The sequence below is a fragment of the Homo sapiens genome, chromosome 11, assembly GCF_000001405.40.
Source record: "Homo sapiens chromosome 11, GRCh38.p14 Primary Assembly".
NCBI lineage: Eukaryota > Metazoa > Chordata > Mammalia > Primates > Hominidae > Homo > Homo sapiens.
In genome coordinates this window covers 91815793-91831843 of record NC_000011.10, presented here as the reverse complement: position 1 = coordinate 91831843, position 16051 = coordinate 91815793, and the positions used below count along the sequence as shown (strand labels likewise).

The 16051-nt window shown below is 36.5% G+C and overlaps 1 long non-coding RNA gene across 5 annotated transcripts in view; it reads right to left on the bottom strand.

The window, feature by feature from the left end:
* LINC02756 (long intergenic non-protein coding RNA 2756) overlaps positions 1-16051 on the bottom strand; it is a 78165-nt gene that overhangs the window by 40643 nt on the left and 21471 nt on the right. For 2 of the 5 annotated variants that reach the window (NR_187309.1, NR_187310.1), the window contains one exon: positions 3068-3168. The exons of the other annotated variants lie outside the window; for them this stretch is intronic. This is a non-coding gene — a long non-coding RNA (long intergenic non-protein coding RNA 2756). The remainder of the gene's footprint in view (positions 1-3067; positions 3169-16051) is intronic. 5 annotated transcript variants of the gene reach the window in all.

Here is a 16051-nt window from a genome sequence, read left to right as displayed (position 1 = left end):
AGCAGCACAGAAGCAAAGTAGAGGGAAGGAAGCCAGAAAGGACTAGGGCTCCTGATCACAGCCAGCTAAGAAATTGTTGTACCCAATTATTAATCAGGAGGTGATTTAATTTGTTTTGTATATAGTTAACGTTTACAACATGTTTTGATACACATATTCATAGTGTGATTACTAGAGACAAGCAAGTTAATATACCCAATATCTCATATATTTACTCTTTTGTGGTAAGAGTACCTACAATCTACTCTCTTGACAAATTGTCAGCATACAATGCTATATTAGGAATTATAGTTCTCATGCTGTATACTAAGTCTCTGGATTTAATCATCCTATAAAACTGCAGCTTTGTACCCTTTGACTTACATCTTCCCATAACTTTCCCTCCACCCCTGCTCCTGGTCATCACCATTTTCCTCTCTTTTTAAAAAAGTTTCACATATTAGTGAGATCCATGCATTATTTGCCTTTTCACATCTGGATTATTTCACTTAGTATAATGCCCTCTAGGTTCATCTATGTTGTTGTAAATGACAGGATCTCTTTCTTTCTTATGGCTGAGTAATATTCTATTCTGTACATATGTATATAGTATTAAAAACAGCATGGTATTGGCACAAAAACAGATACACAGACCACTGGAACAGAATACAGAGCACAGAAGTAAACCCAAGCATATATCGCTAATTAATTTTTAGCAAGAGCACCAAAGGGGGCACGTGCACACACGCACACACAGTTTCATCCATTCAACCATTGATGGACACTTTTCCTTTGGGTGTATACACAGAAGTAAGTAAGTACTCTTTGGATATTTATACAGAAGAGGGATATTGCTGGGTCTTATGGTAGTTCTATTTTTAATTTCTTTGGGAACCTCCTTACTGTTTCTCACAGTGGTTGCATCAGTCTTTATTTCCACCAATAGTGTACAGTGGTTCCCTTCCTCTGCACCTTCACCAACACTTGTTACTTCTTGTCTTTTTGCTAAAAGCCATTCTAACAGATATGAGATATCTCATAGTTTTGATTTGAATTTCCCTGATGATTAGTGATGTTTAACATATTTTCATATACGTGTTGTCCATTTTTATGTCTTCTTTGGAGAAATTTCTATTCAGGTCCTTTGCCCATTTTTTAAGTGGGTTATTCTTTCTTTCTTTTTGCTATTCAATTGTGTGAGTTTCTTATATATTTTGAATGTTAACCCCTGGTCAGATAATATGATTTGCAAATAATTTCTCCCAATCTGTAGTCTGCCTTTGCATTTTGTTGAGGGCTTCCTTTGCTGCAAATAAGCTTTTTGGTTTGATGTAGTCTCATTAGTTTATTTTTGCTTTTGTTGGCTGTGCTTTGGGTGTCCTATCCAAAAAATAATTGCCAAGATCAATGTTCAGGAGCCTTTCCCCTATGTTTTCTCTTAAGAGTTTTATAGTTTTGAGTCTTATATTCAGGTCTTTAATTTATTTTGAATTTATTTTGTGTGTGTGTATGGTGTAGGATAAAGATCTAATTTTATTCCTTTGCATGTGGATAGCCAGTTTTCCAAATACCATTTATTGAAGAGATTATCCTTTTATCATGGAGTCTTCTTAGTGCCCTTACCAAAAATTAGTTGCCCATCTATGCTTGGGTTTATTTCTTGGCTGTCTATTCTGTTTTGTTGGTTGGTGTGTATGTGTTTTTATGCCAGAACCATACTATTTTGATTACCATAGCTTTACAGTATATTTTGAGATCAGGTGGTGTGAGGCCACAAGCTTTGTTCTTTTTGCTCAAGATTGCTTTGGCTATTCAGAGTCTTTTGTGGTTCCACATGAATTTTAGAATTGTTTTTCTCTCTGTGAAAAATGTCATTGAATTGTGATAGACATTGCATTCAACCAATAGATTTCTTTCGGTAGTATGGACACTTTGATGATATTAATCCTTCCAATCCATGACCATAGGATATCTTTCCATTTTTCAGTTTCTTGTTTAATTTTTCATGCATGCTTTATAGTGTTCAGTGTATAGGTCTTTCACCTCTTTGGTTAAATTTATTTCTATGACTTTTTTTGATGCTATTGTAAATGGGAATATTTTCTTAATTTCCTTTTTGGATAATTCATTGTTAATGTATAAAATACGTTCAAAATCTCCTTAAGCTGATAGACAACTTCAGCAAAGTCTCAGGATACAAAATCAATGTGCAAAAATCACAAGCATTCCTATACACCAATAATAGATAATCAGAGACCGAAATCATGAATGAACTCCCATTCGCAACTGCAACAAAAAGAACAAAATACCTAGCAATACAACTTACAAGGGATGTGAAGCACCTCTTCAAGGAGAGCTACAAACCACAGCTCAAGGAATAAGAGAGGACAAAAACAAATGGAAAAACATTCGATGCTCAAGAAGAATCAATATCGTGAAAATGGCCATACTGCCAAAAGTAATTTGTAGATTCAGTGTGATCCCCATCAAGCTACCATTGACTTCCTCACAGAATTAGAAAAAAAACTACCTTTAAATTTCATACAGAATCAAAAAAGAGCCTGTATACCCAAGACAATCCTAAGCTAAAAGAACAAAGCTGGAGACATCATGTTACCTGACTTCAAACTATACTACAAGGTTTTCCATGACGAAACTGGACCACATAAAGTTTCAATTTATGTTCCTATCATACTCTTACTCATTCCTCAAGTCTAAGCCAAGTTGAATTCTCTGGGAAGCTTTTTCTGACCTCTGAGTCTAGATTAGTCTTATAGCACTCTATAATTCCTATCATAGCATTTACCAAGTTATATTGTAAATGCTCTTGTAATTGCCTGCTTCCTCCAATGTGCTGTAATACCGATAAAGGCTAGGCCTGTGTCTGTTTTGTTCATCTTTGAATTCCGACACTTAGCATCTGTCACGACACACAGTAGACACTCTAAATATTCAGAAAAGGATTAAAAAAATGAAAATAAAATGAATATATTTTGATTAGGTCATATAGTAATCACTTAGTACAGGCAGTGTTTCTTTCTGGCTGTTGTGTAGATATTCATTTGGTAAATATTTATTAAGTTCTTACTATGTGCAAGAGCTGCCCTGGGCTTTGGGATCCAGCAGAGAAGGAAACTGACCACATCCTTGCCTGGAACACTGTGGTATTTGGCCTGGAAACCATGTACTCTAAATAGTGTATGAGAAAGAGTTAAAAGTTAATTTAATTTCTGTTTTTTAATGAACTATTTATAATATTGTAGAATATTACATATTACATTTTTCAAATTATTTTTAACACTCCATATGCCCCCAACATCCAAGAGAAGCTCCAGGAATGTCTTGATGTCAAAATTTCTTTAAGATACTATAAGTTAGCTTCTTAACCATGATGGGGCTTTCTCCCAAGCTTTTATGGGAGTAAAGAAGGAGAGTCTGCAAGAGCATGGGTATGTGTGAATTGAGTCAAGCTACATAAATAATTTGGAGAGAGCTTGGAAGTGGTGAGGGCAATAGGAATTGTGAGGCTTCTTAAAGAACTGAGAACGTAACATGAAAAAATTCATTCATTATCATAGCTTAGTCATGGCTTTCTTACTTCATAGAATGTACAACATCTTAGTCTTACACTGCTATCCATCAGGTTTATAACTCCTGCAGTCAGTAGCTGCATCCCATTCATTTATCTGTCTACCATGTTTTAGACCTGGCAAGTGCTCTAGTGTCTGGACTCATAGAAGAAAGTACAAAGCAGACGATTCAAAACAAGAGATAATCAGAGGATTATTGATTTTTTTGCCTTTTGTGTTTTTGCCTTCCTTTTAATATTTTTCTCAAAGTACTATTTGAATAAGTTTTATTCCCATAAATAGAGCTTGATGTAGTAAAAAATTGAACTCATGTTTCTGGACTCCATCCTGTGTAACAGTGAATTTGTATACCTTTGCTCACTTACTCTTCACATCAGTCTTCTGTAGTAAATAGTGTGCATGAGACCCATTTTGTACATAAAAATAACTCAGCCTCAGGGAGGAAGAGTGAGTGACTTGCCCAAGAATTCACAGTTAGGAAGACTCAGGCAGAACCTAAAGTCACACTAAGATGTCCTGTTTCAAAGTTTGTGGCATGCCTCATGCTGCGGCACCTACAAATGCACACTGAAACTCCACTTTGACATTTACCAGTGGTATGCAAATCACTTTGCCCCTTTGAATCTATTTTCTCTATTTAATGAGGATAATTTTATCTGTTTGATTAGTAATTGATATTAATCATTGAAAGGTTTATAAACATTATCACAATCTTCATTATAACCTTGAAACAGACATTGACAACCTCATTTGACAGATGAGAAAACCTTATTTCCAAGATGTTAAGCAGCTGGCTGCAAGTCACATAGACGGTAATGCCAGAGCTGAGATTTAAACTCAGACATGTCTGATTTGAGCTTGTTCTTGTTTCATTTCACCAGGGGGCCAGATTGTAAATATTTTTGGCTTTGCAGACCATGAGCCTGTTTTGCAATTCTGCCATTATAATGTCAATGCAGCCTAGACAATATGCAAATAAATGAGCTTGGTTGTGTTGCAATAAAACTTATTTATGGACACTGAAATTTGAATTTCATAGAATTGTCTCATCACAAAATATTAACCTTCTTTTGATATTTCAACCTTCATAATGTAAAAGCCGTCCTTCAGCTTCAGCCAGGTGTTCAAAGTTAATATCATCAGTGAAAATTACGTTAATAGCATATCAGTAACCCTGATATGTGTGATGGGAATGGCACTTTACATTTATGGTCTTCCTTCCCAAAACCTATAAACTCTATGAGAAAAACATGGATGTAAAGTAAGTAAAGGGCACCCTGTAAAATATCTGACCAGTATATCTCAATATTGCCAAGGTTGTTAAAAACAAAGAAGGTCTGAGAAACTATCACAGCCAAGAGATCCTAGAGGAAGTATGATGACCAAATGCAGTGTGGTATCTTGGATGGGGTTCTGGAACAAAAAAAGTACATTAGGTAAAAAAGAAATGTAATAAAGTATGGACATTAGTTAATAATGTATCAATATTGGTTCATCAGTTGTAACATTTGCATCAAAGTAACGTAAGATGTTAACAATGAGGAAATTAGAAGGTGGGACAAAGGGAACCTCTAGTATTCTTGCAACTTTTCTGCAAATATAAAATTTTGGAAATAGGAAGTTTATTAAATGTTAAGAAATATTGTAAGTATGCTCCCTAAAACAAAACACAAACAAAAACTTTACTCAGAGGTCACTCAGATTTGGCCTGGAAACCATAGCTAGCTGTCCCCTGCACTATGCTACTCTGTCTCTCGTACCTTATTGAGCTGTTCAAAGGAGATCATGTACATAAAAGTACTTTGTAAGACGCAAGCTGTTACACACAATTATGGCTTTATTCGTGGGCTTATTTATGTTTATTTATCTAACAAACATACACTGAGTGACTACTATGCACCAGGCACTTTGCTAAAATTTGATCAGTAAAGGTAAGAACACAACCCCTGCCTTTGAGGAGCAGGAAATTTAGAGGAGGATTTAGGCATTTATGTTACTTGCCACAATGACACCAGATAAAATTAGTCCATATATATGCATACCAGCTACAAAATATTTGTAAAGGAAAAGGTGATGAATTCTTTCATCACAAGTAGAAAATAGCATTTCAGAGAAGGAAGTAATGTTTGGACTCAGTCTTAAATGGTAAATATGAGCTAAGTGGGAGTATAAAGGTTGAGGCAGAATGGTGGGGGATGAAGGCGTCAGGGAACAATCCAGGCAGAGGGAAGAACCTGAATAAAGGGCTGGAAATATGAGAGAACACGGCATGTTTTGAAATCTGCATGAGGTTTATTATGCCTGGGGCATTGTGGTATTATGGTGCTTACAGAGCACTCACTCTATACCAAACACAATGCCTTTATTTTCTGGGAGGCTCCTAAAGTGCAACTCTGTTATAAGCTGAATTATGTCCCCCACAAAATTCATATGAAGTCCTAACTCCCAATTCCTCAGAATGTGATAGTATTTGGAGAAGGGATCTTTAAAGAGGTTATTAAATTACAATTATGTCATTAGAGAAGGCATTAATTCAATATTACTGCTGCCCTTCTAAGAAGAGGAAATTTGGACACTGACAGATAACAGAAGAAACCAACCCTGCCAATACCCTGATCTCAGACTTCTAGCCTCCAGATTAGTGAGAAAATAATTTTCTGTTGTTTAAGCCACCCAATCTGGGGTACTTTGTTATGGGCAGCCCCAGAAGAGGAATCCATTGCCTGGTCTGTAGAGAGGTTTTATTGGAAGGTGATGAATTTAGCTTGGAATCAACTAAGTCTTGCATCTTCTGGGACACCCCAGACATTTCATCACTGATTTTGGAAGATAGAAGTGAGTTGGAAAAATGCATTTGCAAATCATCAGTATTTGGGTGGTAGTAGACACCGTGAGAATGGATGATATTATTCAAAAAGAGACATAGCGTAAGAGAAAGAAGGCCAAGGGTAGTATCTGGGACATGCCACATATCTGAATAAATGTGCGTGTTTGCTCACAGACGTGTTTGTACATCCTAGCTGCAGTTAGTCACCAGAGAGAGCTCATTTAGAGAGATACAAATTTGGGAGAGAAAATCATTTGGAAAAGAAAAATGCCCTGTAATTACTCTCAGAATGAACAATTTTCTTATTTGAGGCAATTTATCCCTATGATCCATCTGAAAAACACTTAACTTTAAAAACTGGATAGAAATAGTTTGAGCTATTTCTTTAAAGGAACTATAACTGGCAAAATAAAGCTCTTGTTGAAGTATAAGGTGAACTGAAAATTTAAGCTCCTGAAATCTGAGGTCTTTATGGGCTGAAAGTGCCATGCTTTGAATATCTCAGAATGCTGTATTTTCACTGGTAAGCTAAGAAATAGGAATATCTATGAAAAGCCAGTTTGAAGAAAGAATAGAAAGGCTTTAGTGAGCAAGAATAAAATTTCAGTGACACTTGAAATAATAAAATATCACAGGTCATTTTCAAGTTTAAAGTTAGCTCACTGTGTGTGTGTGTGTATGTGTGTGTGTGTGTGTGTGTGTGTGTGTGTGTGTGTGTGTGTGTGTATACAGGTTTAATGCCAGATTTCAGTACCTCTTCCTTTTAGAACAAAAGTGATTTTATTTAATATGTAAAGGTTAATTTTGCATTTTACCTAATTTTTACTGAGCTTACATATGCATATACATAGTAGTGATCTCTTAAAAATAACAATATCTTTAAAAAAAAACTAGTATGTTAAAAAGCTCAGAGGTCAGAATGGCCTTGTTTAAGCTTTATGTAAGGCCTCAAATGGTAGAAACAGATTCAGCTAATCTCTTGCTTCATCCCTCAGTCCTGCTGCTTCTGGATTAGCTCACTATTTCTGGAAGGGTTTCTTTCATGGAGTGAAGATAACTACAGGTGGTCCCAGCTTTCCATTCGGGCAAGGTTCTCATTGGATCTCAGTGATTCTAATTGAATTGTGTGTCCTTTAAAGAACCAGTCGCAGCGGCTAGAGGTTATATAATGTGCTGATTTTTCTAACCTAGTTTATGTGTTCCACTTGGATTTGGTTTGGGACCCATATTTTCTATAAATTAAAGAAGAGTATACCTGTAAACAGCTGATATAAGATAGAGTGTATGAATGCTGAATGGTTTAAAACACACACACACAGATGTAGGTATACATATATAAAAATATAAGAAAATATAATGCAAGCTAAAAGAATCTTCAAGGTATTCCTATTGCCATTTTATTTATGTATGTGTGAGAGGAACAAAGAGAAGGGGGAAAGCAAATAGTTGAGGGCACTGATGATCTAATATTGTAATTAGACTACTTCAGGAAGATGATCTTCTACAGCATGTTATAGGAATAAAGAACTATCCAGGGTTATTTTGTAGAATAACAATCTAAAAAACTAGACAGATAATTAGTATTAAATCTTATTTGTATTTATACAGAAAAATTAAGTAATCAGAAGTTTTAATGGAGACAGGGATTGGGAATAGGGATAGCATATTTTTCAGAAGTGTGTGTGTGTCTGTCTGTCTGTTTGCTGTGGCTTAACCTGAGGCTACTGAGTGATAACATATTTAACACCCACAGAACTGCTTTATGAGGGTAATGGGTAGTATGATGTAAGCTTTTTACGTATTATCAGGATATTGAGGAAATGACTGCAATGTCCCCATGTGGAACAACTCCTACTGTAAATGTTCTGGCATAATAGAAAATAGAAAAATTGCACTCAATTTTTATTTTCTCCTAGATCTCTCTCTCTCCCTCCTATGTTTTCCCATCCTTCATTGTGCTGAAACTGCCTTTGCAAAAATCATAACTGAGAAAACTATGATAGTGAAACAGATCTGACCTCAATGACTCCATCTTGCTTCCAAACCTCCCTCCAAGCTGTCCTTATTTCTTCCTGGGTGTAGGCCAAACTAACTGGAAGGACCCTGGTTTATAGTTTAACTTTGAAACAAAGATGATAACACCCCTTTCCCCAAACAAACCCCCTTTTTGCCTGGGGACTAGATTGCCTTTGTAGGACTAACAAATTAGCCATAAGATTAGAAAATATGGTTTAGGTATCATGCAGCTAGAGGCTACAACATTCAAAACCTCCTCAATTGCTCATAGATATATCATCACTACTGTAAAATCTAAGATTGCGGCTTGAGATATTTTTTCAGACCCTGCATTCGGTGGATTATTTGGTGTCATCCGGGTAGATAAACTGGCTCATCTGATCTTGTGGCCCCCACCCAGTAAATGACTCAGTGCAAGAGGGCAGCTTCTACTCCCTATGATTTCATCTCTGACCCGACCAATCAACACTCCCCACTCCCCGGGCCCTACCTGCCAAATCATCCTTAAAAAAACCCAGTCTCCGAATTTTCGGGGAGATCCATCTGAGTAATAACTCTGTCTCCAATGTGGTGTGGCCGGCCTTTCTTTGCTGTGGTCTTTGTGCAGCTTGCAGGAAGAACCTGTCAGGCAGTTACAGTAATTTGCCTCATCTGCCTCATCTCCCCACTGGCAGTAAGCCTCTTTCCTCTGCCCCTGGATTCTCTATTTCTTTGCTAACTAACCCTTAACTATGTGCCACAATACGTTGATAGCTTGAAGGAGCATTAGAGCTGCATTAAACCAATTTCTTCATTTAACATCTGATGAGTTTTGTGAGAGGCAGAGAGTGTGTGACCTGCCAAAGGCCACATAACCATTTAGTATGTGACCCAGAGCAAGAATCCAGGCTTCTTTTTCTCTAAGCCCCTCTCATACAAATGTTCTCTCATTCCACCACTATTAACTGCCCTGCAACCCACAAACATGTACACTCTCTGGGCTCAAACTTTCTTTGCTTCTTCCATAATTATCTCTATCTTGCCTTCCAGCAGTGGTTTTCCCAATGTGGGCAATTCTACCTAACTTTACTCTCTTCCTACCTCTCAGCTTGGGGTTGGTGTAAAAGTAGTGTAGTGTAACAATAATAAAATAACATACTGAGTGGTCACAAGGTGTCCTCCATTAGGCATTTTATATCCATAACCTCCTTTAATTTTCACATAGCTCTATAAAGTAGATATTATTATTTTCCTTATTTTATAAATGAGGTTTAGGGAAGTTATCTGTCTAAAGTCACATTGTTAGTAATTAATGGAAATATGATTGAATGCAGTCCGATTCCAAAGTTAGAACTTTTATCTGCAATAGCCTGCCATACTGATGTTTTGACATCTTGAACCATAGCATCATGCGGCTGACAGTTTGTCCAGTCTTACGGTTAAGAAAGTCTAAATGGCAAATGAATGTTTGCCTTGACATAAGGACTGAAATCAGTCATTCTCTGCTTTCGTCTCATTTTTGCAATTCTAATCTTATTTGGAGTACTCAGCTTGGAATGTTAATTTCAACCTCAGCACTGAAATTGGCCAAGAAAAGAAGGCAACCAAATGGAGGTGAGAAGTAGAATGATTGTACCAAGAAAACAAAAATTTGAACCTGACTTTCCTAGCATTTCTGACACAGCTGATTCTCTTTGTGCCACATCACCCTATTGCTTGTGTTTTCTGTTTTCTTACTACTCCAAGATCTTGATAATATAATAAAATAAAATCCACTTGTCCAACATAAAATATAGCTTATGTTGGCGGAAAAAAATTCTGGGTCATCATAAAACCTCACCAAATCTCTGTAACAGATATTGCAGGCGGCTGGCAGGCAGGACAGAAAGACCCTGAAGTGCAACTAAGTTTAGGTCAATAGGAAGTATTTGTCGTTTGAACTCACGATTTACAATAAAGAGGAAATATGCTGGCTATAAGCAGCAGAAGCATGTAATAACCCAGTCCCAATACATTCAAAGTTGTTTTTATTGAACTCCAGCCATCTATAATTTGCTCTCCAGGGCATTCTCAGAAAGTGATTTTATGATATATATATTTCAAAAAGCTGACTGTTTTCAATAGTTTAGATTTAATTTTTTTCTCAGTCTATTAGATGCGTTAAGTCATGGTATTTTAAGATATAATAGAGAAATGCTTTCAGTAGGTAAATTAAAAATAGAATAATAACTGAAACAGTGTGACTAAAAGTAGAGAAGGAATAGTATGATATTAGAGTGGAGGAGTTAACAGACAAAAGATATCCGAAAATTCAATAGAGCAGGCGTCATGAAAGCTACACAGAGGAATAAAGAAAGGTGACAGCATTGCAACAAAACTTTCTAGATAAAATTATGGTTATTCAGCGCAAGGCAGTTCTTTCTGGAGAAGCTGACAAAAGGCAGCTCAGGAAGAACAAAATAGAAATGAAATGGCTTCACCCACATTCCTTCTCCCACTTTGCTCTTGGGTGGAGACCATTTTCTTAGGACGCACTGCTGTAGCAGTTTTGTACAGTTGGGTGGAGCAGGGTGCTCTACTTCCCAGGCTTCAAGAAGAGGCAGTGCACTATTGTGGTGATGAGAACTTTCTCTAAGCTCTCCCACTTACTAGTTGTGTGACCTTGGCGAAGTTATCCAAATCCTTGAAGCTCAGTGTCTTCATTCATAAAAATAAGGGTAATACTAACACTCATCTCCAGATCCATACATAGAGAGAGCCAATCCAATACTTACCCTAGGGTACAAAAATGTAAATAATGATATACAAAAGATTATCACTTTAAAGTTAGATTTACATGCTCATAGCACATTTACCCATTCACAGGACAATTGAGTCTACCACCTAGTCAGCAAGAATAATTTCTAAGAGTAAGGTGCCACTGGAGGGCACACAGTATTATTAATACATGTCTGTGGACTGTATCATCTGTTATAAAATTGACTTCATAGCATATTTCATATATGTTGTTTGCTCAGAACACCTACATAGCTAGTTTCAGTTTTGCCTACTTTGTGATAATTAAATGAAATGAGAATTCCTTTTTCAGAGCAACAGAATATAATTCGAAAAATTTTAGTTACATTTTAAAAAGTGTTTGCTTCAATCCATGAAATTGATTTTAAACTTCACTGATGGTTCATGACCCATTGTTCAAAAGCCCTGATACTGGTAATAATATCCAATTACTCAAGGAAAACCCAGCCTCTGTGCACACAGCAGTTTCTGTAGTTGCTTTCCTGGTATAAAAAACCTTTGATAATTCTGGACAGAACACGGTGATCCAAGTGGAGGATTTAGTTCATGTGGCTATTCTGCATGTGCTTTCTGCTCATAAAAGGACACTGGCCTTTCAAGTGGGCTGGCTTTGGTGACCTCCTGTGGGACTGACCTCTCAGGAAGGGGAATGGCTAGCTACTTTACAAAGGATAAGCAGGAAAATGGAAGTGGTTTGGACACTGCTTTCTTTTTCCTTTCTCTGGAATTCTGGCCTAGATGAGGGAGTAGGGGTTGGAGGGTGGGTGGAGAGAAATGAGGGAGAATGTCTGGAGCCATTGAAAGGTAAATTAAGAGAGCTCCAAGGCCCAGTTACTCCAATTATTTGTAGTTAAAACATTGTTATGAGCAATTAATGAGCAGCCATATGGCACATTTCTAAAAGTCTAAGCAATAACTAGATATTATTCAGCAAGACTGCTCTCTTCACTTCCAGGTGGTTGTAAACAATACAATCTGATTTGGATGGCATTAGAAAGTGAAACAACAAAACACAAAGCAACCACTTTCCCCACAACACACAAACACAGACACACACACACACACACACACACACACACACACAACCTCTCCTCAACAATGACATGGGTTATTTCACTTATTATATAGACTTATGAGACTGATAATTCAAGATACAACTATTATTTCCATTAAGATTCCTTGATACAAGCCACATATGCTTATTCTGGCTAATTTGAGCAACAAAAGGGTCATCAGAGGGCTATGAAGGTAGTTGATGACTAAAGAAAAGGCTTAAAATAACAGTTGTCAGAACAGTTTCCGGAGTAGCTCTGAGGGATCCCTCTGGATGAAAAACTCCAATTCTTTTTTAGTGTGTGTTTTGTTAAAATTAATGTATTTGTATCTGGATTGAATAACAATGGTAAACATAATAATTCAATTAAACGTATTTAATGAGTGACAATTTATTTTGCCAGGAAGTGTTCTAGGGGCTTGAGATACATCAGTGAATAAAATGAACAAAGTTCTTTGCCCTTATGGGCTTACATTCAGTGTTTTTATAATGCATCCTAAAGTGTAGTCCTAAGCAATGTCAATTAAGGTGGTAAAATTTTTCAATAACATTTTTTTGATAAACTTACTTACCTAAAATTTAAGATTATCTACAAATATTTGATACAGAGGTATGTATTTTTTTCATTTTTAGAATGTGAGAAAGGCTACTAAAGTATCATAATTATTGAAAAATATACAATAAACATATAATCGTACCTATATTTGGCTAGATGTTACACAAAATAACTCAATAAACTGTGATTTTAACAAAAACCATATTTATAATTTAAGGTTGAGATGTTGCATAATGAATTCAGTTTACTTAAAACTGCTCTCTATACTGAACATAACACTTTTTGAAAAACATTGTTAAACCAAAGGAACGCCTCAGAGTAAATACTTAGGGTAAGAATAGCCAGAGTATACTTCAATGTCCAAAAATCCCAATAACCTGGACACAGGATCTTTTGCAAGTACTTCGTAGAAACTCATCTTCATTAAAATCAAAACAAGAGATATAACAAGATAACAGAAGTTAACATAAGGCAGCTTGTGAATTCACAGTAAGTAGTTCCAGTATGACAAAAATGGTATTACATATTGGATTTAATTTAAATAAAATAATACTCTTTCTTCCAGTGAATCATCAAAGTCATTAATTTGCAGAACAATTATATTTTGAAAAGTTAATTTTGTGTCTTCCTCTCCCCCACTTGCCCCTGTGAAGAGCTGAATATAGGAAAATAAGATAGTGTCCTACATTTGGAAGCCTCTTCTCTTTCCTTTCTTTGCTCTCTGCCTTTTTTTTTTTTAAAAAGGATTCTCTATTTATTTCTTCATCATGCATCACACATGGCTGTGCACAGGCAATGGCGGCACACCACTGTTACTGTTAATGCTACAGCACCCACTCCTGCTGTTTAGCTGCCAGAAGAGCTCTTTAACGAACCCAAGAAAGCCAGAGTCCATGCTGTTTTTAGCTAGTCCAAAGGCATTGTTTAATATAACCTTGGGATTTCGTTGCCTTCAACTGAAGCTTTTTCTTAGTCAAAGGCAAATAATGATGAATGTTACAATTAAACATTGAAGCATATCACAGTGGACTTTTCGATAAACCCAGGTTTTTTTTGTCTTAATTACATAGAATGATAAGGAAATACCTCTTTAGAAGTAGAAGCATACTTCCTAGCCACCTTGATTTTTGTGAGTATATTATCTTCGCTGCCTAATAAGAAACTTTGGGCAAGTGGAATACAGGCTGTGAATTACTGGAAAGCCTGCAAAACCCTGGGCCACCATTGACTCCATCCATCTCATGCACCATGGAAGGCAACCCATGAGTTCAGAACAGACATTTGTGTCTACAAAGGGAAAGAGGAGTATATTTTATGTTGTAATTTTTCTACTGCTTCCAAACCATGTCCTTAGACTGTAAATTTCCCCTCAGAAAGTAGCAGTTTTTCCTTCATGTTTGCTGCAGTAGGAATAGACCCCCAAATAATAAGCACAACTCCCTCCCACTCTTGTCTAAGTAATACTTCAACATTGACCATTTTACTCATGAAAGGTGATTTGAGACAAGGTCACAAAAGTCTCAAAGGGCGTGAATCAGGATTTTTAGCTGGAGGAAACCTGACTCACCAGCTGCCATTGACCAAGTCACTTCTTCACTATGATTCTATGGAAGGTTTTCCCCTGTGCTCCCAAGAGAACACTTTGTTTGGCACTTTGCAGCTATACTGGGGGAATTGATTTGTGTGGAGTTTTTTGAGTTAAGAATTTTGAACCGTAATGTGCTTCCTAAAGCTAGGAAAGTAAAATGGATGGGGCAAGCCTGGTAGCAATAGCATGGAATCAATCATCAGAAGGCCTGAATCTGACCGTAGACTTACATGCTGAGAAAAAATCTTGCAAATTACTCGGAGATTAATTTTCTTGTACATAACAGTCCTAGAAAATTCCAGCACTTAGAGTTTTTTGAAGCAACAGTGCATTGTGATTTAGAACATGGTGCTTGTATTAGAATTGCATTCTCTGTAAATTATTACCTGCGTAACTAGTTACCTAACCTCTTTAAACTTCATTTTCTTCTAAGGTAAAATGATACTTACCATTAGGAGTTTTTGAATTAATAAGTGAGATAATCAAATAAAATTTTAAGATAATGTTCTACACATTGCCATTGTTGTTGTTGCTATTTTCATTATAATTATTATGTGAAAATTAAATGAAATAATGGCTGAAAAAAATGTCTTGTAAAGGGTAAAGTTTTATCTGCACTAAAATTATTGCATAACAATTTAATATTAATAAAGCAATTTAATCCATCGTCATTTCAGCCTCATAGCAACTCACTAGAACTGTAAAATTTTAATTTCTAATGAATGGGCTTCCACACACATTGCTTGATATATTTTACTTACCGTCTCTGCGGAGCTTATTACTAGTAAGATCACCTTTTATAAATGTTTGGTTTGTGCCTAGGGAAATCTTATTATTTTCAAAATAATACCCAAACAGAATTTTACCAAGGCATAAGCACTCAATCATTATTTTGTTTAATAAAAAATAAGTTACCGGCTGGGCACGGTGGCTCACGCCTGTAATCCCAGCCCTTTGGGAGGCCGAGACGGTGGATCATTTGAGGTTAGGAGTTCGAGAGCAGTCTTGCCAACCTGGTGAAACCCCGTCTCTACTAAAAATACAAAAATTAGCCGGGCATGGTAGCACATGCCTGTAGTCCCAGCTACTCGGGAGTCTGAGGTGGGAGAATTGTTTCAATCTGGGAGGCGGAGGTTGTAGTGAGCCGAGATTGCGCCATTGCGCTCCAGTCTGGGCGACGGAGCGAGACTCCGTCTCAAAAACAAACAAACAAAAAGTTACCATTCATAAATTTAGTCATCCAAATCAAATACTATGACACTTTATTATGTGGAAATTTGGGATCATAGAAGTGAAGCTTCTGTATAACTGAAGTTTTACTATTTTAACCATGATTTTCAATTGTTTTTGAAATAACTCTTTCTACACTTTATAATTTCTTGCTTTCTTAAAATATGGATTATAATGTGACACTTTCTCAGTAACTCCAAAGAGCACGATGGCTACTGGCAATTGCATTAAGTTCTATTCTGGTAGGTTTTGTTTTTCTCTTTTTCATTGTCCAGCCATCAACTACCCCTCCCAGGGTTCATGTGGCCATCTGTCTCCGAATTTACTGTTTCTAATCTACTGAGCTATGAGAATTCAGGTGACTCAGAGATTTATTCTTGTGTATAAATGAAGAGACTATTTTCTTGTTCCACAAAATACTAAACTTTTAGTGCAA